General features: G+C 57.4%; 1 protein-coding gene, 1 long non-coding RNA gene and 1 pseudogene across 13 annotated transcripts, besides 11 other annotated features; 2 read left to right on the forward strand and 1 right to left on the reverse strand.

Annotated features, from left to right (window-relative positions):
* Positions 1-1,336: 1,336 nt before the first annotated feature.
* On the forward strand, positions 1,337-11,031 carry TMEM235 (transmembrane protein 235). Of its 12 annotated transcripts, NM_001388481.1 has the most exons (9): positions 1,337-1,385; positions 1,476-2,257; positions 3,939-4,019; positions 4,105-4,188; positions 4,637-4,774; positions 6,432-6,557; positions 6,899-6,985; positions 9,068-9,317; positions 9,824-11,031. In NM_001388481.1, the coding sequence occupies exons 2-9, from the start codon at positions 2,068-2,070 to the stop codon at positions 9,834-9,836; spliced, it is 969 nt and encodes a 322-aa protein (NP_001375410.1). In that variant the 5' UTR covers positions 1,337-1,385; positions 1,476-2,067; the 3' UTR covers positions 9,837-11,031. The 12 variants fall into 12 exon arrangements, with proteins under 12 accessions (NP_001375410.1, NP_001375409.1, XP_047291718.1 ...); NM_001388480.1 differs by lacking the exon at positions 6,899-6,985 and having other exon boundaries at positions 6,483-6,557; XM_011524620.3 differs by lacking the exons at positions 1,337-1,385; positions 4,105-4,188 and having other exon boundaries at positions 1,851-2,257; positions 6,483-6,557; positions 9,068-9,306.
* Positions 11,659-11,708: a silencer, noted in NCBI's record as "silent region_9053". NCBI's record gives its function as "represses an Ori minimal core promoter by ATAC-STARR-seq in GM12878 lymphoblastoid cells {active_cell/tissue: GM12878}" and the evidence as "EXISTENCE:reporter gene assay evidence [ECO:0000049][PMID:35858748]".
* Positions 11,869-11,988: an enhancer, noted in NCBI's record as "active region_12880". NCBI's record gives its function as "activates an Ori minimal core promoter by ATAC-STARR-seq in GM12878 lymphoblastoid cells {active_cell/tissue: GM12878}" and the evidence as "EXISTENCE:reporter gene assay evidence [ECO:0000049][PMID:35858748]".
* Positions 12,459-12,588: an enhancer, noted in NCBI's record as "active region_12881". NCBI's record gives its function as "activates an Ori minimal core promoter by ATAC-STARR-seq in GM12878 lymphoblastoid cells {active_cell/tissue: GM12878}" and the evidence as "EXISTENCE:reporter gene assay evidence [ECO:0000049][PMID:35858748]".
* Positions 12,599-12,748: an enhancer, noted in NCBI's record as "active region_12882". NCBI's record gives its function as "activates an Ori minimal core promoter by ATAC-STARR-seq in GM12878 lymphoblastoid cells {active_cell/tissue: GM12878}" and the evidence as "EXISTENCE:reporter gene assay evidence [ECO:0000049][PMID:35858748]".
* Positions 16,519-16,719: a silencer, noted in NCBI's record as "peak3016 fragment used in MPRA reporter construct". NCBI's record gives its function as "represses an SCP1 promoter by STARR-seq MPRAs in K562 erythroleukemia cells {active_cell/tissue: K562}" and the evidence as "EXISTENCE:reporter gene assay evidence [ECO:0000049][PMID:32103011]".
* On the forward strand, positions 18,360-22,535 carry LOC105371910 (uncharacterized). The gene is made up of 2 exons (NR_164160.1): positions 18,360-18,809; positions 21,266-22,535. It is a non-coding gene; the product is annotated as an uncharacterized LOC105371910 (long non-coding RNA).
* On the reverse strand, positions 18,634-26,229 carry THA1P (threonine aldolase 1, pseudogene; annotated as a pseudogene).
* Positions 20,107-20,752: an enhancer, noted in NCBI's record as "H3K4me1 hESC enhancer chr17:76246144-76246789 (GRCh37/hg19 assembly coordinates)". NCBI's record gives its function as "activates a minimal SCP1, AML or CMV promoter by ChIP-STARR-seq in naive H9 embryonic stem cells {active_cell/tissue: H9 hESC(naive)}" and the evidence as "EXISTENCE:reporter gene assay evidence [ECO:0000049][PMID:30033119]".
* Positions 20,934-20,983: an enhancer, noted in NCBI's record as "active region_12883". NCBI's record gives its function as "activates an Ori minimal core promoter by ATAC-STARR-seq in GM12878 lymphoblastoid cells {active_cell/tissue: GM12878}" and the evidence as "EXISTENCE:reporter gene assay evidence [ECO:0000049][PMID:35858748]".
* Positions 23,447-24,165: an enhancer, noted in NCBI's record as "H3K27ac-H3K4me1 hESC enhancer chr17:76249484-76250202 (GRCh37/hg19 assembly coordinates)". NCBI's record gives its function as "activates a minimal SCP1, AML or CMV promoter by ChIP-STARR-seq in naive H9 embryonic stem cells {active_cell/tissue: H9 hESC(naive)}" and the evidence as "EXISTENCE:reporter gene assay evidence [ECO:0000049][PMID:30033119]".
* Positions 24,166-24,883: an enhancer, noted in NCBI's record as "H3K27ac-H3K4me1 hESC enhancer chr17:76250203-76250920 (GRCh37/hg19 assembly coordinates)". NCBI's record gives its function as "activates a minimal SCP1, AML or CMV promoter by ChIP-STARR-seq in naive and primed H9 embryonic stem cells {active_cell/tissue: H9 hESC(naive and primed)}" and the evidence as "EXISTENCE:reporter gene assay evidence [ECO:0000049][PMID:30033119]".
* Positions 24,254-24,403: a silencer, noted in NCBI's record as "silent region_9054". NCBI's record gives its function as "represses an Ori minimal core promoter by ATAC-STARR-seq in GM12878 lymphoblastoid cells {active_cell/tissue: GM12878}" and the evidence as "EXISTENCE:reporter gene assay evidence [ECO:0000049][PMID:35858748]".
* Positions 24,434-24,703: an enhancer, noted in NCBI's record as "active region_12884". NCBI's record gives its function as "activates an Ori minimal core promoter by ATAC-STARR-seq in GM12878 lymphoblastoid cells {active_cell/tissue: GM12878}" and the evidence as "EXISTENCE:reporter gene assay evidence [ECO:0000049][PMID:35858748]".

Here is a 26,334-nt window from a genome sequence, read left to right on the forward strand (position 1 = left end):
CTCCTGCCTGGGTTCAAGCAATCCTCCCACCTTGGCCTCCCAGGTAGCTGAGACCACAGGCACAAGCCACCATATCTGGCCCTACGTAAGCTTTATGTGGGTGCAATAACAGATCTCAAACCAGCTCTCAGCTCAAGAGAAGGGGAAGCTGGGCACAGTGGCTCACGCCTATAATCCCAGCACTTTGGGAAGCCGAGGCAGGAGGATCACTTGAACCCAGGAGTTCGAGACCAGCCTGGGCAACATAGGGAGACCCCTGCCCTCCCTGTCTCTGAAAAAAAAAAAAAAAAAAAAAGAAAGGAGAGGCTGGGCTTGGTGGCTCACACCTGTAATCCCAGCACTTTGGGAAGCCCAGGCAGGAGGATCACTTGAACCCTGGAGTTTGAGTCCAGCCTGGGCAACATAGGGAGACCTTGTCTCTAAAAAAATAAATAGAGTGAGAGAGAGAAGGGGAAGTCACCGGGAGGACACACATGGAGCACGCAGCCCAAATGGGGCTCCTCTGTTCTCCCTGCAGAGTCAGTTCGTACCTTTCACATGCACAAAGGTGTTGATCCAACCGAAGCAATATTGATTCTTGTTATATTGCTTTATTGTGGGGTCAGTGTCAGAGTACCACGAGTTTTCATCACGCACCGTTCTTTCCCCAGCTGCAGTGTGTTTAGGGGGGGAACGAGGCCCCACCCCCTATCCCTATCGCCTCTGCCTTTATAACGGCTGCTACTCTCTGAGCACCTGTTGAGTTCTTTCACCTTCCAGATCTAATGTGCTATCCCCACCCCTAGAGAACAGGGCTGCTGGATGCCACATGGCTCCCAGAGAGGGGCTGTGGTCAGGGAAGCCCCAGCTCCAAGGGGGCTGGAAAACCCCAGAGCTGCCCACGTGCGGCAACACAGTCTGGTGCTGCAGGTGTGAGGACGGCTACAAAATACCTGAGCCATTCTGTCACTCTGTCTGAACTCTGTTTGAAATATTGTTTCAATAACTGCTAGGCTGGTTTTTCCTTCCTGACTATATTCCTCAAACCAACAAGAGCCTAGCAGAGGAAAGCATGGCCAAAACGCCCCAAGAAGAGAGCCTTGGCTTCACCTCCAAGGGCCACCATCCGGGAGGATGTCCTCAGACCTCTGATCCCCTCTCTGCAGGCTCTGCCCAGCCCTGTGTGGCAACCCAGAGGAAGCCTCCCCTTCGTTTGAGATTTAACCCCAGACCTTAGGCGATGGCTGCCCAGCCTGTCCCTTCCGCCTGTGTGGCTGCCCACGCGGGCGTTGCTCATGGGGCTAGTCCTGGGTGGATGGGTGGGGGCCTCTCGCCGGCTCCTCTGCCTCCCACCCCCACTGGCACCCCACGCCTGTCCTAGAAGGTTCTTTCTGCCTGTTTTCTCCGTGAGTGACTGGACAGGCAGAGGCCGGCCTTGCTGGAGGGGGCATTTGTAATTATGAGTGAATCCAAAACAAGGTTTTTTCCTTCCGCAGCCCCCCGCCCGGCTGTGGGGCCCAGCCACTGCACTTCACCGGATGCCGTCTGGTTGGTCCTCAGGACTGATACAGACCAGGACCCCAGGGCCAGCCCGTGCCAGGCTCCTATGCTTCCAGGAGCACGGGTGGGTGGTCCTGCTGCCTGGCCGGCCATCCTCCTGGGGTCGGTCTCTGGCCGATCCTCCCTCCTCCTCTCAAGCCCTGCACAGCCCGGCCAGGCAGGTGCATCTTGTTTGGCTGCTGAGGAGCCGGGGGTTCAGGGAAATTAAGGAACGTGCCCAGGGACCCGGGGCCAGCCCGTGGGGACGCTGGGATTGGAGCCCAAGCCCCAGGTTCGCCGCGCGGCTCTCGACTTCCTCTCCTTTCCCCCAGGGGCGAGCTCAGCGACCGCAGAGAGGTGGGGTCGATCTCCCTGCGACCCCAGGGGGCCCGCGAGGCCAGTGCGCGGGCAGGAGCGGGGACGTGCTCAGAAGAGCCGGGCGCCGCCGCGCCCGCCCGCCCCCCGTCCCCCGGCTCCCGGCTCCGCGCGCCCCCCGCCGCCCCCGGGGCCCTGCTACCCCCGACCCGTCCCCTCCCGCCGGCCGCCCCCATGGCCCGGCTGGGCGCGCTGCTCCTGGCCGCCGCCCTGGGTGCACTGCTCAGCTTCGCGCTCCTGGCCGCCGCGGTCGCCAGCGACTACTGGTACATCCTGGAGGTGGCGGACGCCGGCAATGGCAGCGCCTGGCCCGGGCGCGCAGAGCTGCTCTCCTCGCACTCGGGGCTCTGGCGCATCTGCGAAGGTAACCGGCCACCGCGCCGGCCCTCCTCCCTCCGCGACCTCGTCCCTCCGACACCCCCTTAACCCCGCCCTGCTCGTGTTGCCCCGCCAGACCCCCTTCCAGGACCCCTCTCTTGCATCCCGCTCTGCCCCAGGGTGTCTCTCCGCTCCCTCCCCATCACCCTCCGTCTTCCCCCAAAACTGACAGCCCAAGGGCTACAGGAGGGAGGGAGCCCAGTTCGGGGCCCCTCACAGCCGGAGGAGGGGGCTGTGGGGCGACAGTGGGGGAGGGAAGCCTAGAGGTGTGTAGTTGGGGGGCCTCATCCAAGTCACCAGGGGTTGTTTCTTGATCACGCTCCCCGGGGTTTGGGCCTGGCAGCCCCTTGTCCCCGTCCCTGTCAGGCACTGTCAGAGCTGTTCACCCCACACCTCCTGATGCCGCGGGGGCAGGGGTTCCAAATGTGTACAGAGGCTTCAGAGTCCGGGGAGAGAGAAGGGGATCCCAGCAGGCTGGAGGGTCCACAGGGCCCCCTCCGTTCCCCCCAGCTCCCTCCTCCGGAGCTGGGGCCAGCCTGGGGAGCTTCCCCTTCACAGCGCGAGGGCTGGCAGGGCAGGGGTGTGTGTGTGAGTGAGCATGTGTGTGCATCTGAATATGTGTGCATGTGCTGAACATGAACATGTGTGAGCACCTGGCTGTGTATGTAAATATGAATATGTGAGTGTGAGTGTATGTAGTTGTGTGTGCATGTGAATATGAGTGTGTGAGCATGTCAGTGTGCATGTGTGTGCATGTGAGAGTGTGTGGGCATGTATATGAGTGAGTGCATGTGTGGGTGGTGCACATGTGCTGGTGGCTTCCTCAGTGCAACTGGGGAGGAGTTAGGAGCCTTGTGTTCATCCAACAGACTGCCTAACTGTGCTCCAAAGACCTCCTGACATGCACCTGTGTGCACGTGTGCACACGCCTGTGCCTATGCAGGTGGCTCTGCACGCGTGTGAGAACCAGAGAGTATGTATGCCCACATGACACGAGTCAGGAAGATTCCAGAGCGAGGCTTCCCAGGAGCCCGTTTTGTACACCCTTTTTCCTTTCAGGCAAAGCCTGAGTTCCACACACAAACGCATTACAAGGACCCCTGCCTGAGGGACTCTGAGGGGGCCTCCATGGAGCGTTTGAAAGTTTAAACATGCACCTGTGCAGGCATAACTTGCACGTGAAAATAAACAAGGTGAAGGCTGGGCCCGGTGGCCCACGCCTGTAATCCCAGCACTTTGGGAGGCCGAGGCGGGTGGATCACGAGGTCAGGAGATCGAGACCACAGTGAAACCCCGTCTCTACTAAAAATACAAAAAATTAGCCGGGCACGGTGGCGGGTGCCTGTAGTCCCAGCTACTTGGGAGGCTGAGGCAGGAGAATGGCGCGAAACCGGGAGGCGGAGCTTGCAGTGAACCGAGATCGCGCCACTGCACTCCAGCCTGGGGTGACAGAGCGAGACTCCATCTCAAAAAAAAAAAAAAGAAAAAGAAAATAAACAAGGCTAAAGGTCTTGGGCCTTTTCATCCCACTTGGAGTCCCAGCCCTGAGTTTCAGCAGAAGAGAAGCTGGCAGGGCCCTGTGGTGCCAGGGGGTCCCCTGGGCTCGGGTAGGCTGCTGGGTGCACCACAGCGTCCAGGCCCCAGGCTTCGAGGCCTATGTTTCCCAGGGCAGAACGGCTGCATCCCGCTGGTCGACCCTTTTGCCAGTGAGAGCCTGGACGTCTCCACCTCGGTGCAGCACCTCATCTGTGAGTCCTGGGTGGGGCCACCTCCCCATCCTTTCCAAATATTCAGGCAAGGCAGATCCCAGCCATCCCCATCCCCATCCCGCAGCACTGCTTCCACTGCCCCTGCGTTTCCAAGAGGACGTTTCCACGCAGACCTGTCCCAGTGCTGTGCTGCTGTCCCTAACCACAGGTGCCCAGCTCCCAGCCTATCCTGTTTTCCCCTGTCTCAGTTTCCCTCTCAGTGGTGATGGCTCATCCCTTTGTTATTGGGGAAGCCAGGCAGCTCCCAGCTTGGCTGGATCCTGCGGGCCTTGCAGACTCCTGGCTCCCCATTTAGGACTCGATTCTTCCAGATGGCCTGCTGTCTACCTGGCTGGCACCTTCCACCTGGCGGGTTGGGGGACATGTGAGGCCTGGGGATGGGGGCTGGGAGTGTTCTGGGGACGCCTCCCCTCCTGGCCTTAGGAAGCCCCTGCCAGAGTCAGAGGGGGCCACTGGGAGGGTCCAGTGGTGTCCACAGAGATGGGCGTCAGCCGCTTTTCCTGAGAAGACGAAGCACCACGTCACTGTCCTCCGGCAGACAAGTGCTGAAGGGCCCACCTGGACCAGAATTCTCACCTGAGCCCCCTTTCCTGCAGTGCTGCACCGTGCAGTCATTGTGGTCCTGCCCCTGAGCCTGGTCCTTCTCGTGTGTGGCTGGATCTGCGGCCTGCTCAGCTCCCTGGCCCAGAGCGTGTCTCTGCTGCTTTTCACCGGCTGCTACTTCCTGCTGGGGAGTGAGTCTGGGGCCCTGGGGGAATGGCTCCAAAGATGGGAGCTGGGCCACAGGTCCCGGGAGTGGGGTGCTGCCTCTCCTGTTGCCCTCGTCCCCTGCTCCCTTCTGGGCGGGTGCTGAGTCTGGCGATGGAGCCGTGGCAGGCAGCTCCCTGTGGTTCCAGAAGGTACCCATGTATATTTGTTCTCACGTTGCTATAAAGAAATGCCTGAGACTGCGTAATTTATAAAGAAAAGAGGTTTAGGCCGGGAGCAGTGGCTCATGCCTGTGATCCCAGCACTTTGGGAGGCTGAGGTGGGTGGATCATCTGAGGTCAGGAGTTCAAGACCAGCCTGACCAACATGGTAAAACCCCATCTTTACTAAAAACACAAAAATTAGCTGGGCTTATAAAGAAAAGAGGTTTAATTGGCTCATGGTTCTGCATGCTGTAGAGGAAGCATGATGCTTGGCTTCTGGGGAGGCCTCAGGAAAATGACAATCACAGGCGGAAGGCCAAGGCAGGGAGCCAGCATTTCACATGGCTGGGACAGGAGGAAGAGAGTAGGGAGGTGTTACACACTTTTTTTTTTTTTTGAGATGGAGTTTCGCTCTTGTTGCCCAGGCTGGAGTGCAATCGCATGATCTCGACTCACTGCAACCTCCGCATCCTGGGTTCGAGCAATTCTCCTGCCTCAGCCTCCTGAGTAGCTGGGATTACAGGCATGCGCCACCACACCCAGCTAATTTTGTATTTTTGGTAGAGACGGGGTCTCTCCATGCTGGTGAGGCTGGTCTTGAACTCCTGACCTCAGGTAATCCACCTGCCTCAGCCTCCCTAAGTGCTGGGATTATAGGTGTGAGGCACCGTTCCCAGCTGGGTGCTACATAGTTTTTTTTTTTTTTTTTTTGAGACGGAGTCTCGCTCTGTCTCCTAGGCTGGAGTGCAGTGGCGCAATCTTCGCTCACTGCAAGCTCTGCCTCCCAGGTTCATGCCATTCTCTTGCCTCAGCCTCCTGAGCAGCTGGGACTACAGGCACCTGCCACCACGCCCGGCTAATTTTTTTGTATTTTTAGTAGAGATGGGGTTTCACCATGTTAGCCAGGATGGTCTCAATCTTCTGACCTTGTGATCCTCCTGCCTCGGCCTCCCAAAGTGCTGTGATTACAGGCATGAGCCACCATGCCCAGCCCTGGGTGCTACATACTTTTAAACAACCAGATCTCAGAACTCACTCACTATCCAGAGAACAGCACCAAGGGAAATGGTGCTAACCCATTCATGGGAAGCCACTGCCATGATCCAGTCATCTCCCACCAGGCGCCCCCTCCAACACTGGGGATTATCATTCCACATGCGATTCGGGCCGGGACACCAAACCCTAGCACCGTGATAGGAGCAGGGCTTCTGGTTGTGGGTCAGAGCCTGGGACAGGGAGGAGCACCGGGGTCCAAGCTTCTTGGTGCGGGGGGCATGAGGGCCTCCAGGGCAACCCCAGGACCTGCTCTACTGGGTCAGATCATGCGGGGGGGCCTGGGGCCAGCCCCTCACCACACCCTTCTCCTTCCTGTACTGTCCTGGTGGGAGGAGCAAGGGTTCCGGGGTTTGGCACAGATGAGGCAGGGCCAGGCATGAAGGCAGGTGAGACAGGGCACCAGAGGCCTCAGCTCTGACCCCAGCACAGGCTGAGACTGTAACCGGTAACCACCCATCCACTGACGCGGCTCCAGCTCTGACTACATGCCGAGTGCTGGCCAAGTGCTCCTCCGAAGGCTCCTCCGAGGGCCCCCCAGTCCCAGCTGCAGGTGAGAAATCTGAGGCCTGGAGAGGGCCGAGGGCCTGGGCTCCCCTTCACCCCCACTGGTGCTGTCTCCTCAGTTTCCACCGACTGCCCAGCACTGGCTGTTGCGGAAGGTGGACTAGGGGCTCCTGACAGTCTGTCCTCAGCCGCCCCTGTCAATCAAGGCTAGGCCCGAGCCAGGCCCTGATGTCTCAGGCCAGCTCCACTGTCAAGGCTGTGGCCACAAGGAGCAGACCATCCAGGGCTGGGGGCACCCTCCCTGTTTCTCTGGGAGGCCTCTGTCACTGAGGAGGCCCGACTGGGTGCAGAGATTGGGGAAACCAGCAGCCTTGGTATTGGTCACAGGCCACATGAGAACAACAGTGAAGTCAAGGTCTCCTCTAGACAATGAAATCAGGAAGAATCCAAATGACCTGACCCTGCGGCCCATCTGTGAGTGTTCAAAATCCAATTAAGAGGACCTTCGGGAGCCAGCGACTAGAGTGTAATTGGGTTGGGATTGTAACCAGAAGAACTTACAGGGACACGGACCCTCTGCATTGTGCCTGGGAGCGAAGGCACCGGCTAGGGGGTGGAGGGGCCGGAGGTAGCTGGTGGATGGGTGGGGGTTCCACTGCGACTCCAGCCTCCCCAGGCAGAGGGGGCCTCCATCCTAGTATGAGGGTCAGCTGTGGGCCGAAGCACAGAGGGCTCTCAGGATGTCACACCAAAGGCACCTGCCCAGGGTCAGCTCGGCCCTCACCCCTCACTAGCACTGCAAGGAGGGGGAGGGAGATAGAGGGCCCCAGATCGATTGGGTGCCCTTCCCTGAGACAGGATCTTGGGGGGCCTGGGGGACCGACAGGGCCCACGGTGACAGAGTCCTTTAGAGTTTCCCAGCTTGAGGTTGCAGGTGCCAGCCGCAGAGGCCTCCTTTAGGAGGTCTGCCAGGAGCTGAGCCTGGGCCCCATCACCAGGGATTTGGGAGGTACTTCAGGTCCCAGTTTGGGAGCTTACTCTTCACCTTCATTTTGGGAGAAAGGCCGTGTCCTCGGCCAGGCTACAGGAGGCAGCTGGTGTTTGGAGAGGGCTCAGCTGGTGGGGCGGCCTGCCAGGAAGTGGGGCCTTGGGCTGCAGCTGCAGCCAGTGCTACAGGCAGAGACAGGCAGAGACAGGCACCTCCTGCCGCACGGTCAGCCCCCGCTGCTGGGGGCTGACCCCCACCCCTGCTTCTCCCAGGGACCGCTTCATTCAATTTGGCTTCACATTCTTCCCCAAAATAAATCCATAATTTCTGTTGCTACGCTGCCCAGCCGGGCAGGCATCCGTGTGTCCTCCCTCCCTCAGCCTCCCCATGCCTTCTTCTCCCCACTCTCTGTCCCACTCTTCTTCCCAAGTTTGGTTCCCAGGAGGAATCACAGAAGACCAGGCTGTGTTGTGCCCCTTCACTGGGCACCAGTGAGATCCAGACCTGGCCCTGAATGTCAGCTTGGGTCAGTTGCCTTCTTTTGGCTGGGCAGTGCCCAGAGGGGACCCTGTGCACCCAGGAAGTGCCTGTGGGGAAATCAGGGCCACCTGCCCCCCTGGCTAACATTCCCTACAGTCGGCGCCAAGGACAGGCTTTCTCATCAGCCTGAAGCTGTGGGAAGGGGGTGGCACTCCGGGCTGGTTCCTCCAAGCTCAGTGGACAGGAAAATGCCCTGGAGGCATGGGCCGAGTCCCCTACCTAGCTCGTTGCTGGACCCTGAACTGCCGGATGAAGCCTGGTGCCCGCCACCCTGTGCAAAGCCCAGCTTCATTCCTTTGACAACAGCTTTGACCATGTGGAGAGCGGGAGGGAGGAGAGAGGAGGGCCCAGGGCAGGCATCCTCCCCTGGGGAAGGGCCTGAAACTCAGAGCTGGGAGGACAGGGGGGCTCTGGAAGGGGAGTCAGAGGGAGGGGGATGTTAGCCCCGGAGGTAGGGAGGGCAAAGGTGTGAGGAAGAGGAGGCGGGGGTGCAGGGCAGGGACTCACTCTGATCAGAGCACTGGGCAACGCTGCTGCCAGCAGAGGCCATGGCTCTGTGTGTGTGTGTGTGTGTGTGTGTGTGTGTGTGTGAATGTGTGCAAATGTGTTCGTGTAGGTGTGCATGTGCATGTGTGTGCTGGGGGCCATGGAGGGTACAGAGTGTGTGGGGGGCAGTTATGTGAGTGGGAACCATGTTGAGGGGCAGGTGGCACTGTTTGCAGGAGGCTTTATGGGATGAGGTCTCTGAGGTTTGAGGACTGAATTGGAGCCTCTTAAAGCTCCACTCCGCCAAATGCAGTTGACTACCTTTAGCCCTGTCCAACCCCAAGCAGGAGGTGGTGTCTGGGAGAGGCGGCCAGGTTGACAGCCAGGCAGGGCTAACCATGACAGGAAGGGCGGTGTGCTGCCTGCAGCTCTGCCTGAATGCTAGCGGGGCCGGGGATGCTGAGGCCATGTCTGCAGGACCACCTGGGCCTGGGCCCGCTAGAGCAGACACCGAGCAGCTGCCCTCCCCATCTCTCCCCCAGGTGTCCTGACACTGGCGGGGGTCAGCATCTACATCAGCTACTCGCACCTGGCCTTTGCGGAGACGGTGCAGCAGTATGGCCCGCAGCACATGCAGGGCGTCCGCGTCAGCTTCGGCTGGTCCATGGCCCTGGCCTGGGGCTCCTGTGCCTTGGAGGCATTCAGCGGAACCCTCCTGCTCTCAGCTGCCTGGACCCTCAGCCTGAGCCCCCCAATCTGTGGTCATCTGAGTCCCCAGCAGGTGGGAGGGAGGTAAGAGGGGGCTGGGTTTCCCTTTGCACCTCCCGGGATTGGGCGGTCAGGGCCAGGGCCCCTTGAGAGTCTGGGAATCCCTTCTCTGGGCCTCGCTGGGGTCCTGGCCAGGAAGGGGCTGGGGGTGACAAGGGGTGGAGGGCAGAGCCAAGAATCCAGCTCCTCATGTTTCTCTGTAGATATTTGGGGAGGCTCCCCTGCCCCGGCAGGCTTGTTAGGGACTAATTGGTTCAACCGCCTCTTAGAGATGAGAAGAGCCAGTCCAGAAAGAGGAAGTAAGTGGCCCAGGTGACACAGGCTGAGTGGCAGAGTTGGGTGGGGGCACCTCTCAAGGGTGTGGCCTGAACTCGCCCCTCCCCCAGCAGGCTAGTGAGTCACTGCTGCCCCCATTCCTAAGGACCTGGGAGAAAAGTAGGTGCCTGTTAAATGCCGCAGGACTGGGCTCCATGCTCCTCTCCAGCCCCGCAATGGCCCTACTCAATGACTACCCTTTATCCATTTTACAGAGGGGGAGACTGAGGCCCAGAGCGGCAGAGGGACCCACCCAGATCGCCTGGCGCCAGAGAGATGCCGTCTCAGGCCAAGGCCTCCCTGGCCTCTGTTCTGTCCACTCTCCCCGAAGGGCAGGCTTGGTGGAGAAGAGGCTGATGAGAGGGCCCGAGAGCCCCTCCGATTTGCAGGGGTGGGGGGCAAGGAGCTGAGCGATCCAGATGTACCCCTCTGCCCCCTCCCTTGTTCTCAAGCCTGCTAGGTACTTTTCACTGAGCACTTCCGGGAAGAGCAGGCACCCAGATCTCTGTCCTTGTCCTGGCACAGGCTGCTGCTGCTTCCGGCCCCCGACCCTTCCTCTCTGCAGCAACCCGGGGGAGGTATGCCACTGTGAGTGCCCTGGTGGGCACACTGAGCTGGCAGAGATGGAAGTCCCAGAAGGGTGGGGTGGGGGTGTCATGCCATGGTGGAGGAGTTTGGGGCCACTCCTTGCCTGCCTCAAAGGGGGCCTGGCTGAGGGTGCTTCTTGACCACAGGGGCCAGGGCTGCCTAGGGTGGCGCAGGGCTGGGCCTGGAGTTTGGGATGCAGGCTTGTTAAACACAGGGCAGAACCCCAGGTTGGGAGGGGCTCAGTTTGCAGGCCCAGGCCCGCAGGCCCACTGCTGGTCCCAGGGTGAGACAGGTGAGAAGAGGGATGGCCAGCACACACTTGAGTCCCCTTGGGCCACAAAGGCTGGGGCACGCCCACCGTTATGCAGATGGACAGTTGAGGTGGCTGCAGGAGAAGGGTTCCCAGGGCCTGTACAACACGTGGAAGCACTAAACGGCCCCGTTTGGGGTTTGGGGGCCCTTCCCGAGTCTTGAGAGGTCTTGAGAGGTGTGCTGGGGAAGGTGGCAGCCTCTTGTAGCTTGATCTTCCTCCACCCTGCCCCACCCCTAGGTCTCTTTATTGATTCAAAGGTTAAGGAAGCTCCTGGGGGCTTGAGGGGGTGGCACAGTTTTGGTGGGGCCCAGTGAGGACAAATCTGGGGGGTGAGCAGGGCCTCCTCTTCCTCCTGGTGTTTGAACGTTTACCATTCCATGTGGGACCATTGTGCCAATTTGTCCTTAAGTAAATCACTTGTGCTGTGTGCAGTATAAGCCTTTTATTTTTCTTAGAACTTTTCAAAATAGGTAACACATGCCTGTCTGTCATAAACAGTACAAACGTGAGCAAACACTGTCACCAGCTGTGCGCGTGTCTGTCTGTCCATCCAGAGGTGTTCTGAGAGCGTGTGTGCACGTGTGTGTGTGTCCACTGTGAAGTCATCTGTAGACATACAAGCCTACTTCTTATTCCCAGATCAGCACAGGGAGTGGGGAGGGGGGCCTGGGTCTCCGTTTTGGAAACGGGGGCTGGCTTCGTGGGCATGTCCTCTCAGCTTGGGAGGAAAGGTGTGGCGGACTCTTCCTCTCCTCCTCCTGGCCCCCAACTTCTGCTGATGAGGCTTCTCCTGGGGGTTTGCTGGGAAGCCAGGGATGTGAGCCTAACTTCAGGCCTCTCACGGCAGATGTGCTTGGGCTCTGGGGATAGGACACTGGGGAAGACACACCGGGGAGGGGCTGCTGGGACCACCAGCGTTCCCGGAGAGTGTGTGTGGTGGGGAGGGTGTGCTGCTTGACCCTTCCCTTCCAGAACAGAGCTGCCCACCTTGCCTCCACGTGTTCTGGGGCGTGTGGAACTTAGCCAGGCCAGGTAACTTCTTCACTCTCTCATTGGCCAGCCACATCCCTCACCCTCTGGTTGGTTAGTGGACTCCCTCACGCTCTGATTGGCTAGTCAACTCCTTCACTCTGACTGGCCAGCCACATCCCTCACCCTCTGATTGGCTAGTTGACTCCACTCTGGCCAGTTGATGCCCCACACTCTCTGATTGGCCAGTCAGTGTTCCTTACCCTCTGAATGGCCAGTTAACTCCCTCACTCTCTGGCTAGTCTCCACAGTGATTGGCCCAAGGGTTCTGTCTGTGTTCATGGTTCTCTGAGTGTCAGGCTTTGCAGCTGTGATTAAGAGGCGGATGAGTGCCTCCCAGGGAAGAGACAGTGCATGGTTCAAGGTCACCCAGAATAGACAACATGACATCAGGCTCAAATGGTGCTGCGTCGTTTACAGCAAGAGGAGAGAGCCTGTGCACCAAAACCGCTTGCAATGGTGGTTCCCACGGTGGGATCCACTGGCCCACGTGGGCCTCTTTCTTCAATTTTTTCTTAGAATTTTTCAAAATAGGTAACACGTGCCCTTGTGCCACAAATAGCACAAAGGCGAGTAAACACTGTCACCAGCTGTGCGCACGTCTGTCCATCCAGAGGTGTTCTGTGTGTGTGTGAGCAAGCGTGTGCACGTGCCAGAAACAAGCCCTGACTCAGAGGCCCTTCCCCCAGCATCGAAGGCGCTTGCTCCTCTCGCCACAGCAAAGCCCCTTCTCCAGGGATGGCCCAGCTCCGCCAGGTCCTGGGCCCACTGGCATCCCACTCGGGCATGTTTATCTGCACCACCTGGTAGGTGCCCCTGCCAGGGGCCTGACCTCTGTGAGGACAGGGGCCTCTCATCAGCTCAGGCCCTATGCCCAACCAGCATTTATAAATGCAGTAGGCAGCCCGCAAGAGAGCCCCCATCTGTCCTCATCTCCTGGTGCTCACGCCTCTGTAGGCCTTACCACACTGAGTCAGCGCTGACTTGGGTGTCAAGTAGGAAGTACCAGCGTGTGAGGGGGTCATAAAAAGGCAGCTTCTGCCTCGGTCTCAGACTGCTCACCCTAGGGGAAGCAAGTCATCAGACTGTGAAGACACTCAGGAAGCCCTGAGGAGATGCTCACATGGACAGGACTGAGGCCTCCGCCAACAGCAGCAGCAGCGTGTCAGCTGTGTGAGGACACCACCTGCGAGAGGATTATTCAGATAATGCAGTTCTCACTGATGTCTTGACGGCAACCTCGTGAGAAACTCCAAACCAGAACTTTCCAGCTGTAAGCCACTCCCAAATTCCGCCTCTCCCCCGCTTTTTTTTTGAGACAGGGTCTCACTCTGTCACCTAGGCTGGAGAGCAGTGGCTCCATCTCGGCTCACTGAGGCATGGCCCTTCTGGGCTCAAGTGATCCTCCCACCTCAGCCTCTCGAGTAGCTGGGACCACAGGTGTGAGTCACCAGGCCTGGTTACTTTTTTTGTTTGTTTGGTTTTGGTTTTTTTTGAGACAGAGTTTTTGCTCTGTCGCCCAGTCTGGAGTGCAGTGGTGCGATCTTGGCTCACTGCAACCTCTGCCTCCCGAGTTCAAGCGATTCTCCTGCCTCAGCCTCCCAAGTAGCTGGGATTACAGATGCGTGCTACCGTGCCTGGCTGATTTTTGTATTTTTAGTAGAGATGGGGTTTTACCATGTTGGCCAGGCTGATCTCCAACTTCTGACCTCAGGCGATACCCCATGCCTCGGCCTCCTAAAGTGCTGGGATTACAGACGTGAGCCACCACATCCAGCCACCTGGCTACTTTTTGTGTTTGTAGAGACGGAGTTGCACCATGTTGGCCAGGCTGGTCTCAAACTTCTGGGCTCAAGCAGTCCACCTGCCCCGGCGTTCCAAAGTGCTGGGATTGACTACAGGTGTGCGTGAGCCACCACACCCGGCTCACTCTCCAATTCCTAACCCACAGTGCTATGGGAAATAATGATTGTTGCTTTAAGGCAGTATGTTTTGGGGTCATTTGTTATGCAGCAATGGATAACCAATATAATGCACTTTTGCTGGTGCTTGCCCCAGACAGGGCAGTAAGGGAGACACGGAATTACAGGGGCTTAGAGTTACTGGCTTCCTTCTTTTTTTTTTTTTTTTTGAGACGGAGTCTTGCTCTTGTCACCCAGGCTGGAGTGCAATGGCGTGATATCGGCTCACCGCAACCTCCGCTTCCCGGGTTCAAGCGATTCTCCTGCCTCAGCCTCCTGAGTAGCTGGGATTACAGGCACCTGCCACCATGCCCTGCTGATTTTTGTGCTTTTAGTACAGATGGGGGTTTCTCCATGTTGGCCAGGCTGGTCTTGAACTCCTGACCTCAGGTGATCCACCTGCCTCGGCCTCCCAAAATGCTGGGATTACAGGCATGCGAGTTGCTGGCTTTCTTTTGATTCTCTGAGTTACCACCTTCTCCAGCACAGGACAGCAGTTCTGGGGCCCTGGGAACTCCTGTATACGGATCTTCCACAGTATGGATCTGGATTCTTCTAAGAGATGGAGGGACAGAGGGAAACTCCCCTTTGCCTGCCACGTGGACTCTTCTCCCCTTACACTCACTGCAGTCCAAGATTTCCACCGTCCCCTCCCTCCCTCCCTTCCTTCCTTTTCTTTCTTTCATTTCTTTCTTGAGACGGAGTTTCACTCTTCTCTGGTGCCCAGGCTGGAGTGCAATGGTGTGATCTCAGGTCACTGCAACCTCTGCCTCCCAGGTTCAAGTGATTCTCCTGCCTCAGCCTCCCGAGTAGCTGGGATTACAGGTATGTGCCACCACGCCCGGCTAATTTTGTATTTTTAGTAGAGATGGGGTTTCTCCATGTTGGTCAGGCTGGTCTTGAATTCCTGATCTCAGGTGATCCACCCACCTCAGCCTCCCTAAGTGCTGGGATTATAGGCATGACCCACCACACCCAGCCCATGCTGTGGTTTCTCATAGCTCTTCCTCTAGTCCAGGCCCCCTCCTGAGCTCTGTGCTTACATTCCTGGCAGCTTCTTAACCACCTCTTCTTGGGGTCTCAAAGTTAACAATCTTAAGCTAAAGTCTCTACTTTACCATTCTAAACAATCCTCCTTCTGGGATTCCTATTAAGGGCTTTCTAAAGCACTGATCTGACTGTATACCTCCCCTCTTTAATACACACACACACACACACACACACACACACACACACACACACACGCAGAGATTTATATACATATATACATATCCAGAATGAAATAGACAAAAATATTAATAGTTATTCTTAGATGATAAAAATACAGGTAATTTTTATTTTCTTCTTCTTCTTCTTTTTTTTTTTTTTTTTTTGAGATGGAGTCTCACTCTCTTGCCCAGGCTGAAGTGCAGTGGCGGGATCTCGGCTCACTGCAACCTCTGCCTCCTGGGTTCAAGCACTTCTTCTGCTTCAGCCCCCTGAGTAGCTGGGATTACAGGCACGCACCACCAGGCCTGGATACTTTTTTGTATTTTTAGTAGAGATGGGGTTTGCTATATTGGCCAGGCTGGTCTCAAACTCCTGACCTCAGGTGATCCACCTGCCTAAGCCTGCCAAAGTGCTGGGATTACAGGCATGAGCCACCATGCCCAGCCTCTTTATTCTTTTTAATATTATCACAAGTTATTTATTTATTTATTTATTTATTTATTTATTTTTTGAGATGGAGTTTTGCCCTTGTTGCCCAGGCTGGAGTGCAATGGCACGATCTCAGCTCACTGCAACCTCCACCTCCCGGGTTCAAGTGATTCTCCTGCCTCAGCCTCCTGAGTAGCTGGGATTACAGGCACATGCCATCATGCCTGGCTAATTTTGCATTTTTAGTAGAGACAGAGTTTCTCCATGTTGGTCAGGCTGGTCTTGAACTCCTGACCTCAGGTGATCTGCCCTCCTCGGCCTCCCAAAGTGCTGGGATTATAGGCATGAGCCACCGTGCCCAGCCATTATCACAAGTTATTTATACTTCCTTTCTCTTGTTCTTGATCAGTCTCATTAGAGGTTTATCAATTTTATTACTCTTTTCAAAGAACTATCTTTTGTTTATCTGGATATTTTCTCTTGATTTATCTCCCTCTTCACTAATTCTCTCTCCAGCTGTGTCTCATCTACTATTCAACCTATCTACTGAGTTCTTAAGTTATCATATTTTTCAGTTCTAGAATTTCCATGTGGCCTTCTTATAGTTCCAAGATTCCTGCCAAATTTTTTTTATCTTGACTTATAATTCCTTGAATATTTTATTTTTTATTTTTTTGAGATGGGGGTCTCTCTGTGTCACCCAGGCTGGAATGCAGTGGCACAATCTTAGCTCACTGCAACCTCCACCTCCTGGGAGGCTCAAGCAATCCTCCCACCTCAGTCCCCCATGTAGCTGGGTCTACAGGTGCCACATCTGGCTAATTTTTGTACTTTTAAGTAGAAACAGGGTTTTACCATGTTGCCCAGGCTGGTTTCAAACTCCTGGGTTCAAGCAATCTGCCTGCCTCGGACTCCCAAAATGCTGGGATTACAAGCATGAGCCACCACACCCAGCCTAGAATATTTAATTTAATTAATTAATTTATTTATTTATTTTGAGACGGAGTCTCACCGTCACCCAGGCTGGAGTGCAGTGGCGCAATCTTGGCTAACTGCAACCTCTGCCTCCCGGGTTCAAGCGATTCTCCTGCCTCAGCCTCCAGAGTAGCTGGGATTACAGGTGTGTGCCACCATGCCCAGCTAATTTTTGTATTTTTAGTAGAGATGGAGTTTCACCATGTTTGCTAGGCTGGTCTCGAACTCCTGATCTCAAGTGATCCACCCACCTCGGCCTCCCAAAGTGCTGGGATTGTAGGCATGAGCCACCACACTCAAGCTATTTATTTTTTTAGAGATGGGTCTCGCTCTGTCACCCAGGTTGGAGTGCAGTGGCATGATCACGGTTCACTGCAGCCTTGAACTCCTGGGCTCAAGTGATCCTCCCACCTCAGCCTCCTGGGTAGCTGGGACTACAGGCACAAGCCACTTTGTTATCTGGGTCACCTAAGGGTCTGTTTCTTTTTTTTTTTTTTTGGAGACAGAGTCTTGCTGTGTCACACAGGCTGGAGTACAACAGTGTGATCTTGGCTCACTGCAACCTCCACCTCCTGGGTTCAAATGATTCGCTTGCCTCAGCCTCCCGAATAGCTGGGATTACAGGCCCACACCACTATGACCAGCTAAATTTTTTTTTGGATTTTTAGTAGAGATGGGGTTTCACCATGTTGGCCAGGCTGGTCTCAAACTCCTGACCTCAAGTGATCTGCCCGCCTCTGCCTCCCAAAGTGCTGGGATTAGAGGCATGAGCCACTGCGCCTGGCCTCTTTTGTCCATTTTTTTCTCATTTTCAATCACATCTTGTCCCATTCTATACCTGGTTATTTCTGATTGAGTGGGGGCATCCCACATGAATAACTGTAGAGGAAATTGGAGGCTCTGGGAGACGTCACCTTCCTCCAGAGAAGACGGATCTTTACTTCTGGCAGGCAGCTAGGCCAGAGGCACCCACCACCCCAGATTGCCGTAATCAGGGATCACAGTGCTTCACAGCTGGCTTCACTTCTCACGATGGTCAGTCTACTTCCAATTGCCCTTACTCCTAGTGGGTGGCCCCTCAGGGACTCAACCCAAAGCTTGAGGGTTTTTTTGTTTGTTTGTTTGTTTTTTGAGACAGAGTCTTGCTTGAGGGACTCTTACCAGGGTCTTTCAGCAGGCCTTGAACTTCAGCTTCTGCCCTCAGCCCTGTGTGCCTGTGAAAAGTTCTGCTCAGTTCCTCAGCTCCCGAGCAGACGCGTCGAGGAAAAGTGTCCCAAATGCCAGGCTCACCTCTCTAGGTTCCCTCTTCTCCCAGATCTTGACCTCACAATTCATGACTGCCTTGCAGGCTCTTCAGTACTATCAGATTGTTTGTTTGTTTATTTGTTGAGACAGGGTCTCCCTCTGTCGCCCAGGCTGGAATGCAGTGGTGTGATCTCGGCTCACTGCAGACTCCACCTCCTGGACTTAAATGATCCTCCTACCCCAGGCTCCCACGTAGCTGGGACCACAGATGCACACCCCACCACGCCTGGCTTCATTTTTTTTTTTTTGACTGAGTCTGCCTGAACTACCCTAAGAGTTGCTAAAAGTAAGATTTACTCCCACATCATCTACAATACAGACATATTATTTTGTTAAGCAGAGTAATTTCTTTTCCTTTTTTTTTTTTTTGAGACGGAGTCTGGCTCTGTTACCCAGGCCGGAGTGCAGTGGCGTAATCTCGGCTCACTGCAACCCCCACCTCCCCAGTTCAAGCGATTCTCTCACCTCTGCCTCCCGAGTAGCTGGGACTACGGGTACGCACCACCACACCTGGCTAATTTTTGTATTTTTAGTAGAGATGGGGTTTCACCATGTTGGCCAGGCTGGTCTCGAACTCCTGACCTCAAGTGATCCACCCACCTCGGCCTCCCAAAGTGCTGGGATTACAGGCGTGAGCCACCATGCCCGGCCCTGAGTAATTTATTTTCTAAAAAGGAAAATACGTATTAGAGGACCACAAGATAAAATGGAAATCCCTCACCACGGCAGTTAAAGCCCTGACCATCAAGTTCCCATGTCCCTTTCTGCTTCCTTCTGACGTTTCCCTTCCTGAACTCAGGAAGCTGTAACTGGCCACGTGGCCCTGAAGAAAGGGCTCCTCTCTGACCTAGAGCGAAGGCCTGCCCCGCTGCCTCCCGAGCTCTGGTGACGGGAGCTGGAAGGGTGTCCTTCCTGTCCCTACACCCTGTCCCAGACACTGGAGGAATTCAGTGTGTGCTGACAAGCATGGGGGAGGTCCTAACCCTGAGTGTTGTGGGGGTGAAGGGGACCAAAGAGCCCCAGGAGCAGGTAACACCTCCTCTGCTGCCTGCTTGCTGGGAACACCTCCACTCCCTGCTTCCACCCCAGCCCGGGCACAGGGTCCCGGTCACTCCGTCCTCAGGACTCCAACGGCCTCAGCACAAACTCCCACTTCCTCAGCACCAGTTCAGTGTCCTACACCGAGACGTCGCGGTGCCACACGGAAGCACGGACTGCTCTGTCCATAGGAACAGTGGCACGCACGCCACGTGGCCAGTGTGGGCCAGCTCATCAGCACTCACGGCCCGCAACCCAGCCATGCTCACCACCACCATGTTCGTCTCCACGAAGGTGGGATCAACTGAGCAGACGGACAACACCAGCTCCTGGAGTCCTGGGCCAGGTCCTGAGGTGAGCAGAGGTGACCCCAGGCCCTGACCCTGACCCCATTGCCAGCAAGGTCACCCGGGAGGCAGGGGGCAGTTCGGTCACGGTAGGAGAAGGAAGGGCCCTGTGTCCTGACTTGGCCTTTGCAGTCACACAGACTGGGCTCTGCTGCGTTTAGCTATGTGATCTCAGACAAACCTATTGACCTCTCTGGGCCTCTGTTTCCTCATTGTGAAGTAGGGACATCATGGGATTGTTGGAGGACTCAGTGAGCAGATGGAAGACCCAGGTTAGAGGCTCTGCCAGACTCTGCAGAGCATCACAATCCTGGCCGTCCACCGAGGGCTTCCCCAGGCTGGACTCTGCGCTGAGTAGGGTCTGCTGAAGCAGCTGGTGCCCTGGGTCCCGCCCTAGTGACTCAATGGCCACCCTGAGTCCCAGGATCCAGAAGCCTGCAGGCCTGCTGGGGGACCCCCGACGGCACAGCTCAGGCCAAGTCAGAGGAAGCACAGGGAAGCGAGGGTGGGGCGTCCTGTCCAGGCACCTTGGGTGAATCTCTGGGCGTTCCCATGGTCTTGCCACAGTGCCTGCTTTGTGTCAACCAGTCCCACCAGGGCCACCGCAGCCAGCATCCCCACCTGGTGCATGCTTCCACCCAGGGCTTTTTGGAGGCGCCAGGCTTCTTCAATGAAGTCCTTGGGCCTCCCAGCCAGGGACCCCACTGGGGCGCCCAGGCCCTGGGAGGTGGAGAGGAGAGACTCCTGCCAGCTCACATCCCTGTCCTTGGGCCAGGGTGGGGACAGATGCGTAGCCCCATCTGCAGAGGTGTTAAAGGGGAACCTGGGGCCAGCTGCCAGGGATGGAGCTCAGGAATCCAACCCTGCCTCCTGCTGGGGCGCCCCACCCCACCTGTCTGTGGGAGGCCAGCCCAGGGCTTTCCCACCTTGGAGAGGCAGAAAGACACAGAGTCACAGTGCTCCACAATGTAGGTGGGCGGGACATGCAGGGCCAGCACCACGTTCATCAGCTGGGCCCTGTCCAGGTGGACCCAGGCCCCATAGGTCTGGGCCAGGAGGTGCACCTGGGGGTGAGGTGCAGGCAGAGTCAGAGGGGCCAGGCCTGAGGGAGGCATAGAGGGAGGAGGGTCCTGGGCTTAGCTGCCTGAGGAATCAGGAGGGATCAGGAGACCTGGCTGGTGACTGGCTCTGGTGATCTGGGACCCAAGCAGTCAGGCTGTGCTGCCTAAGCCTCCATGCTGGGCTCTGGGAGGATCTGGGGGTGCACATTTAACCCAGCTTTGTCGCACACTGAGCATGGGCCAAACGACCGTGGGCCAAGGGTAAATGTGTGTCACCTCATTTAGGCTGCACAACAACTCGAGGGAGACGCCGCTGCTCCCATTTCACAGGCAAGGAACGCAAGGCTTGGAGAGTTAGGCTGCTGCCTAACTAGTGTCTGGTAAACAGCAGAGCTCAGACACTGCGGCCTCCTCACCTCGCACGTGGGTGGCAAGGACCAGGTGGAGGGCACTCACACGAGCTTGTTCCTGCAGCCTCATGGGGCACACGTTTCTGCGCCAGGGCAGCAGGTCCTGGTGCTGCTCTGGGACTCAGCTCTGGGGACTTGGGGGTGGGGGCATCTCTGCTGTTGGGCTGGTGCAGGGACTAGGGGCCCTGACCTGGGGTAATAATTCCCTTTGTGTCTCAGCCTAGGACCACACATGTGTCCTTCCTGTGACAGGTCTGGCCGCTGATGGGTGCCCATGGCATAAATCAGAGGGGACTGAACCCCAGGATGGGCCAGGGGCACAGGAAGCCAGGATCAGGCTGGTGGGGGGCACACAGTGGTGGGGCTGGGCCTACCTGGCGTAGGTAGTTGATGGGGAGGATCCGGACCCCCGAGATGCTGTGTGAGTTCTCCAGGCAAATGAGCTCGCAGACCTGGTGGTAGGGACTCTGGAGGCCCCGCGTGATCATCCTCTCCAGCTCAGCCAGTCCAGAGTGCAGTGGGGCAGCTCTGGGAGGGAGTGGGAGTGCACTCCAGCCCTCTGTGGGTCAGGAAGAGGATGAGGGCTGAGGGGTCCAGGGGCACCTCTTGGCGGAGTGGGGGGCTCCTCTGGAGTAAGGAGCCAGACCCTGAGTCCTGTGTCTGCTCCCCCGAGGCCTGGGCCTTGGAGCCTTTCCTCTGTTCTGTGCATCTAGACAGACGTCCCAGCTGGGGGGCACTGGGCCCCTCCCCTATTAACTCTTCAGATGCTGCTGTCTGGCTCCCGTCGGGAGCGCGGGAGTGCTCCGAGTGTCCACTAGAGGGCACCAGGCACCAAGCACCGCCCAGGTGTCTGCCCGGCAAGCCTGGGGCCAGCCCCAGCCGCTGCCGCCCCCACGTGGCAAATCTGGGGCTCTGCTCTCCTTCCTTCCTCCCCTGGAGAGGCTGCCATCCCAGCCAGCTTCTCCATGGCTGTCCCTTTCTCCCCTCCGCAGGTCCCAGCCTGGTGCCTGGGAAGGGGGTTTGCCCCTGAGCAGCCTGTGCTGGCTGGAGGATGCCCAGGGCCCCAGGTGAGCAATGCCTGCTCCTTACCTGAGCCACCCCACCCTGCTCATAGACGTGGAGGTGGCACTCCTGCCCAAGGAGGAGCTGGGAGCCCCGGCGCCAGCAGTGACACATCACTGAGACAGAAGGAGGGCAGGTCTTGGCATTGAGTCTGGAGGCATGTGGCCCTGCTCAGCGTGGCTAGGCTGAGCCCTAAGGCTACAGTCAACTCACAAATGCCTGAGGCCGGCAAGGAAACAGCACCTTCAAGACACCTCAGTGCTACGTGCCAGAAGACCATCCCATTAAACACACAAGTCTAGGATAGCTGTGCTGCGCTGGGAATCGCTGGGCCACACCCAGCCTGCACACCTGCGCCTGGAGGCCCCTCCACAGAGCATCGCCTGCTGGAGAAGCTGCTGCAATGCTGCTTCTTGGTGGACACGCAGCCGAGGCACCTGCAGTCGTCAGACCCTGGCAGGAAACAGACGGCACACACACACTGGGAAACTGGCAGTGTTTAATCATGGGACGGTTTATAGAGGGGAGGCAGGAGCAGGGAAGCCCGGAGAACAGGCCTGAGGGGTGAGAGGAAGGTGTGGCTGCAGGAACCCGGAGCCAGGGCTATGTGGAGAGGTCCCTGACGCTGGCCCAGAGGCCCTGGGGACCCTCGGAAGAGGAGCTAGGGAGGAGCAGACCTGCAGCCCCCACTGTCCTCCTCCCCCATCTCCTTCCAGGGCTCCCCACCAACCCAACAGAAATGGAGGAATGTGGTCCATGAGTGTCAGAGCCCCCCCATATGCACTGAGGACCTGCTAGGCAGACAGAAGTCGCCCTGCGCTCACCAGAGATGAGGTTGGCCATAGTGTTGGAGGGCACAAAGAGGGTGCGCCCCAGCCCTAGCAGCTCCACAGCCATTTCTTGCAGCTCTGCGGAGGGACAGGGAAGCCGCTGTGCTTGCACACTCGGGTGTCAGCACCGTCCATGCTGCTTTCCCTGTGTCACTTGGGCCAGAGCACGCCCTGAGCCCAGGTGAGGCCCCTAGCCCGAGGCTCCGGTGAGCAGCTGAGTGGGTTTGGAGCCCCATCCACCAGCTGCACACTCTGTGGGCTTAGCAACCACACATCCAGCCCCACAGGGCCCTCAGTCAACTCTGCACCCCACCTACCCTGGGCCATGGCCTCTCCCCGCTCCCCCCAAGAACCTCTCTTGTGGTTTGAACCTGTCCCCGGCAGACCTCACACCTGTCTCACTTCCTTTCCCCTCAGCCCTTTGCAGGTGGGGCCTGTGGTTTCTCTGCTGACTTCCTTTCCTCGTCAGGAGGGATGAGTGGGGGGCTGGACGGGGTGTGAGGGTGCAGCTGGAGGGTGAGGAAGGCTCCCGCTCTTGCTGTAAAGCCCACTGTGGTCCCCCCAACTGTGGCATCAAGTCCTTAGCATGACACTCAGGGCTGGAGTGACCTGGCCTCTGCCCCCCCTCCTCAGAGCCTCCTGCACTCTCCACACCTGCCACATCCCCACCTGCGCCCTGAAGACCTTTCTCACCAGTCTGCTTCTGCTCCTGAAGACCCCTGCCCTGTGAGCCGGCGCTCCCTTCCCTGCCTGGGATGCTTCCACTCAGCCTGCAGGAGGGCTCCTCTGTGAAGCCCCCTTCCCCGTGAGCCACAGCCTCGCCCCATCCTCTGCTTCCCAGGGCACCCTCTCTAGACTCCCATCAACTCAAGCGCCTCCCCAGCCTCTCCTTGAGCGGCAGTGACTTGTTGACATGTGAGGCTGCCTGGGAGCATGGAGATCAGCATCTCCAGCAACGCTGGGCAGCAGCTGGATACATGCTTAGCCCCAGCCATCCCTTAACCCCTTAGCAGACGGGCCCTCGGGATTCAACTGGTGACCCCATGGCTTGTCCTGGCCTAGCTGAGGGGTGTGCACACCCCAACAGTCAAAGTGGTTCACTATGGCAACTCACAACCCAGGGCTGGGGCTGGGGGTCGCTGTACCCTGGAGACACTCCCTAGGTTATTAGAACCCACTCCTTGCGAGGTGCAGCCTGTAGAACCTGCCCCTTTCTACATCTATTTTCCATTTGCCTTCTGTGGGGGAAGGCAGTGCAGGAGAACAGTTGTGGGTTTCAGAGTCAGAAGACCCGGGTTCAAACCTTGGTTCTGCCATTTACTAAGTATGGGGCCTGGAGCGCCTCCCTCCACATCTCAGAACCCTCCTCTGCAAGACTGGACATCACCCATCTCAGGGGGCAGCTGGGTGACAATGCAGGACACACACAACCACCTGGTGAGCCTATAGAAATGCAGGTTCTTCTCGGCAGGCCATGTGAATCTGCATTTCTTTTATTTATTTATTTTTATTTTTATTTTTTTTTTTTTGAGATGGAGTCTCGCTCTTGTCGCCCAGGCTGGAATGCAGTGGGACGATCTCAGCTCACTGCAACCTCTGCCTCCCGGGTTCAAGTGATTCTCCTGCCTCAGCCTCCTGAGAAGCTGGGATTACGGGTGCCCACCACCACGCCCAGATAATTTTTGTATTTTTAGTAGAGATGGGGTTTCATCATGTTGGCCAGGCTGGTCTCGAACTCCTGACCTCGTGATCCGCCTGCCTTGGCCTCTCAAAATGCTAGGATTACAGGCTTGAGCCACTGCGCCCGGCCGGAATCTGCATTTCTAACTTTCAGGTAACAGCAGCACGCACGCAGACGGCAAGCCTATCCTGTGGCAGGTGTTCATTACACCCATTTATGTCGGAGGTTGCAATTTTTTGAATTTTTGCCATCAGACCTTGGCGATGACCTTGAGCAGTAGGACATAAATACCTCCCAGATGCTTAGCGTTCCAATAATGGAACACTAGGCATAAATGGGTTTTAAGCGCCAAGGGAGCCACTTCCCCTGCGTCCCAGACCATCACGGACAGCGCTCCGCTGCCGCCTCCACGACCCCCGGCCTGCACGCCGGTCTTCGCCGTAGTCGTCGTCCCCCACGACCGCCTCGGCCATGACGCACCTCATGGCCGGCCCGGGCCTGGTCACCTTGTCGCTGCGCAGGCCCACCACGTAGGCTGCGACCCCCGCGCTCCCACACCCCGCCCGGAGCGCCCCATGTACCGGGGCCGCCGCTCGGGCCAGTCTGCGGAGCATGGCGCGGGCAGCGCCCGACTCCCCACCCCGGCGGGAGCTGCTGACTCCTCTACTCCCCAGCGAAGGCGGCGAGAGCGACGTGGTCGGTGCGGCCAGAATTCCTAGAGCTGGGAAGCAGCCGCCCTGGGCCGGGGGTCCAGGGAGCGAGCCCCGTGGCACGCTGGGAGTTGTAGTTCGCGCTCCCTCGCGGCGGGCGTGCGCGAGCGTCTGCGAACGGGCCCCGTGGCACGCTGGGAGTTGTAGTACGGGCTGCGTCGCGGCGGAGAACCAGCGAGCCCGTGATGCTGAAGCAGAAGGTTCTGCTCATTGAAGGAGAAACCGAGGCCGAGCGAGTGTGTGTGTGTGTGTGTGTGTGTGTGTGTGTGTGTGTGTGTGTGACAGAGTCTCGCTTTGTCGCCCAGGCTGGAGTGCAGTGACGCGATCTTGACTCACTGCAACCTCCGCCTCACAGGTACAAGCAATTCTCCTGTCTCAGCCTCCCGAGTAGCTGGGATTACAGGCGCGCGCCACCACGCCCAGCTAATTTTTTTTTTTTTTTGTATTTTTAGTAGAGAGGAGTTTTCACCATGTTGGCCTGGCTGGTCTCGAACTCTTGACCTCAGGTGATCCACCCGACTTGACCTCCCAAATTGCTGGGATTACAGGCGTGAGCCACTGCACCCAGCCCTGGGCGAGCTTTTATAACACAGACGCTCATGTGGCACTTGCCATGTGCCAGGCTCTGCCCCAGGCCCTTTGCAAATGTTAGCTCAGTTAAACCTCCCAACGACTCTAGGAGACAAGCACTATTGCTATCCCTGTCTTGCAGATGGGGAACAGGAGACGCGGAGCTAACGGACAGCTGGAGGCCACTTGGGTAGGAATTGGTCCGGGCGGGGTACCGCTGTCTCCAGAGGGCAGCCCTAAATCACTGTTTCATGCTGCCCCTAAAACACAGCTTCCCTCGTTTACCATCTTCAGTATTGATTTGTTGAGCAAGTTCGGTGCGCCAGGCAGTGTCCAGGTGTCCAGGTGCCAGGCTGGGGGACAGGGCTATGTCTCCAGCCGGGTTCCAGTCTAAGGGGAGACCGCTAAAAGAATGCGTGGGGAGCCCCTCCTCCATAGGCCCCTGCCCCTGGGTGGACTGCCTCCATGGGGGCAGGGTGGTGCTGAAGTTCAAGCCAGCTGTGTGGCCTTGGACAAGCCATGTAGCTTCTTTGTGCCTCGGTTTCCTCAACTGCAGATTGGGCTGTTGTGAGCATTCAGTGACTGGATATGTGTTTGGTGCTGACCCCAATGCCTGGCTTGCTGTAAGCTCAGGGTGGTCACCCCACTGTGGCTGTTTTTTAATTTTTTAAGACAGGGTCTCACTCTATCCCCCAAGCTGGAGTGCAGTGGTGTGATTACAGCTCAGTGCATTCTTGACTTCCTGGGCTTGGGTGAACCTCCCACCTCAGCCTCCCAAGTAGTTGGGACTACAGGCAAGTGCTACTATGCCTGGCTAATCTTTCTGTGTTTTTCGTAGAGACAAGGTCTTGCTGTGTTGCTCAGGCTGGTCTCAAGCTCCTGAGCCCAAGTGATTCTCCCTCAGCCCCACAAAGTGCTGGGATTACAGGCGTGAGCCATCACGACCTGCCCAGCTGTGGCTGTTATTATCATTGTCGTTACTGATCCCAGCTTGGAACTCTGAGGGCCCGGGGGCTTTGGGGTGAACTCTGACACAGTCTAGACTGTGGGGTGCCCTTCCCCCACACAGGGAGCACAGGCACCCATTGCCACTCAGCGGCTCCTCTTCCTCTTTCTGTCCCCCATAGGAGAAAGATCCAGGAGGGGCCACAGCTGCTGGGCCAAGCGTCTGGTGAGGGTGGCCCTTGGTGAGGAGGACACCCATCCTA

This window comes from Homo sapiens, chromosome 17, assembly GCF_000001405.40.
Source record: "Homo sapiens chromosome 17, GRCh38.p14 Primary Assembly".
Taxonomy (NCBI): domain Eukaryota; kingdom Metazoa; phylum Chordata; class Mammalia; order Primates; family Hominidae; genus Homo; species Homo sapiens.

What these genes read in the sequence shown, in the direction of transcription:
- TMEM235 (XM_011524620.3), top strand. Translation starts at nt 2,068, where the DNA reads ATGGCCCGGCTGGGCGCGCTGCTCCTGGCCGCCGCCCTGGGTGCACTG. An exon ending in CTCGGTGCAGCACCTCATCT is followed by an intron (nt 4,020 to 4,636) that starts GTGAGTCCTGGG and finishes CCTTTCCTGCAG; the next exon opens with TGCTGCACCGTGCAGTCATT. An exon ending in CTGCTACTTCCTGCTGGGGA is followed by an intron (nt 4,775 to 6,482) that starts GTGAGTCTGGGG and finishes ACGCGGCTCCAG; the next exon opens with CTCTGACTACATGCCGAGTG.